Source organism: Homo sapiens, chromosome 13 (genome assembly GCF_000001405.40).
Source record: "Homo sapiens chromosome 13, GRCh38.p14 Primary Assembly".
Taxonomy (NCBI): Eukaryota; Metazoa; Chordata; class Mammalia; order Primates; family Hominidae; genus Homo; species Homo sapiens.
Window position 1 is genome coordinate 108,041,311 of NC_000013.11, and position 2,310 is coordinate 108,043,620.

The window sequence follows — 2,310 nt, forward strand, 5'->3', positions numbered from 1 at the left end:
GATAGAGCTGCAATGAACATGTGTGCATGTATCTTTATAATAGAATGATTTATATTTTGGGGGATATATATTCAGTAATGGGGTTGTTGGGTCAAATGGTATTTCTGCTTCTAAGTCTTTGAGGAATTGTCACACTGTCTTCCACAATGGTTTAACTAATTTACATTCCCACCAACAGTGTAGAAGTGTTCCTTTTTCTCCACAACCTTGCCAGCATCTGTTGTTTCTTGACTTTTAAATAACCACCATTTTGGCTGGCATGAAATGTTATAGCATTGTGGTTTTGATTTGCAGTTCTCTAATGATCAGTGATGTTGAGCCTTTTTTCATGTTTGTTGGCTGCATGAATGTCTTCTTTTGAGAAGTGTCTGTTCATTAGACCATTACTTCAAAGAATAATGAAAGCTAGGAGTGCTGAACTCAGGGATCTAAAGGAAAAGGATCATGAGATGACCAAGTTGAGTTTCCTGGAAATGAATGAGTGTGCTCTAAGTTAGTGACTCATTGAAACGAATCTATATTACTGTGAAAGGAAATTAAATTTTGGGACCCCAAACTCATTTAGCCAAAGGGAAAAGCCAAGCTGGAAACTGGGTCATGAAAACCTGCCTCCTGCTTTTAGTTCCTAAATAAGATGGCTACAAAATGAAAAGCTACACGACTCCCCCATATTTTGCCCACAAGGAAATGCCTATTGAGCTGTTAAAATTTTACCATGGCAATGCAAATTGATAGCTCATCTTTACAGGTGCAGTCACCCTGGCCCACCAGACACAAATGCATATCTGATTATTCCCCTGCCCCATTTTGTCTATGTTATCTTATGTAAAAATGCAGATTCACTGAGCCAGACAAAGGCATGAATGACTATTTTCTCTACCCCCATCCCACATAAAACTTGTGTGCTTTTCAATATCCCGTCCTTTCCTGTTTAAATTTGGAGCCCTCAAAATCATCTTTGGAGAAAGGCATAGACCTGTCTCCCAGGTGCATCCTTTACTTTGTCAAATAAATCTCCTAAAATGATTGAGACTTGTCTTATCATTTTTCTCCATTGACATTACTGTACTGGTTGTCCCATCCCTCCAAGTTCTTTATATTCTGAGGAGAATATTTAGACAGCTTTGTATTGATAATATTTGTTGTGGGAAGTCAGGGACCCCGAACGGAGGGACCGGCTGGAGCCATGGCAGAGGAGCATAAATTGTGAAGATTTTATTTTAATATGGACATTTATCAGTTCCCAAATAATACTTTTATAATTTCTTACACCTGTCTTACTTTAATCTCTTAATCCTGTTATCTTCGTAAGATGAGGATTTACGTCACCTGAGGACCACTGTGATAATTGTGTTAGCTGTACAAATTAATTGTAAAACATGTGTGTTTGAACAATATGAAATCAGTGTACCTTGAAAAAAAACAGAATAACAGCAATTTTTAGGGAACAAAGGAAGACAACCATAAGGTCTGACTGCCTGCAGGGTAGGGCAAAAAGAGCCATATTTTTCTTCTTGCACAGAGCATGTCTTCTTAAACAGACATGCAAGTAGGAAAGATATCGCTAAATTCTTTTCCTAGCAAGGAATATTAACATTAATACCCTAGGAAAGGAATGCATTCCTGGGGGGAGGTCTATGTGCACCGCTGAACATAGACCCTTATCAGTAGTTCTGCTTTTGCCGTTTGTCCTGTTCCCTCAGAAGCATGTGATCTTTGTTCTGTTTTTGCCCTTTGAAGCCTGTGATCTTTGTATCTACTCTCTGTTATTACACCCCCTCCCCTTTTGAAACACTTAATAAAAAAACTTGCTGGTTTGAGGCTCAGGTGGGTATCACAGTCCTACTGATATGTGATGTCACCCCCGGCGGCCCAGCTGTAAAATTCCTCTCTTTGTACTCTTTCTCTTTATTTCTCAGCTGGCTGACACTTATGGAAAATAGAACCCACGTTGAAATATTGGGGGTGGGTTCCTCTGATAAATATTATGTCTACAGCACACAGAGCTTTATTTTTTATCATTCAACTTAATTTCTGACTCCACCTTCAGTTGTTCCTGATTCTTACCCCATAGGATTGTGACACATTCCAAATATCTTATGTTAATGCCAAGCATCTTAGTCCATTTTGTGTTGCTATAGAGGATGACCTGAAGCTGGGTAACTTGTAAAGAAAATGTTTATTTGGCTCACAATTCTGATGTCTGGAGAAGTTCAAGACTGGCCATCTCATGAGGGCCTGAGGCTGCTTCCACTCATGGTAAAAAGCAAAAAGGAGTTAGTGTGTGTAGAGAAAGAGAGAAAGAGCGAG

The 2,310-nt window shown here is 39.2% G+C and overlaps 1 annotated feature.

Moving 5' to 3' along the window:
* Positions 431–600: an enhancer, noted in NCBI's record as "experimental_32153 CRE fragment used in MPRA reporter constructs". NCBI's record gives its function as "activates a minimal promoter by MPRAs in K562 erythroleukemia cells, with activity observed for both the introgressed and non-introgressed 13:108694174 variant alleles {active_cell/tissue: K562}" and the evidence as "EXISTENCE:reporter gene assay evidence [ECO:0000049][PMID:34662402]".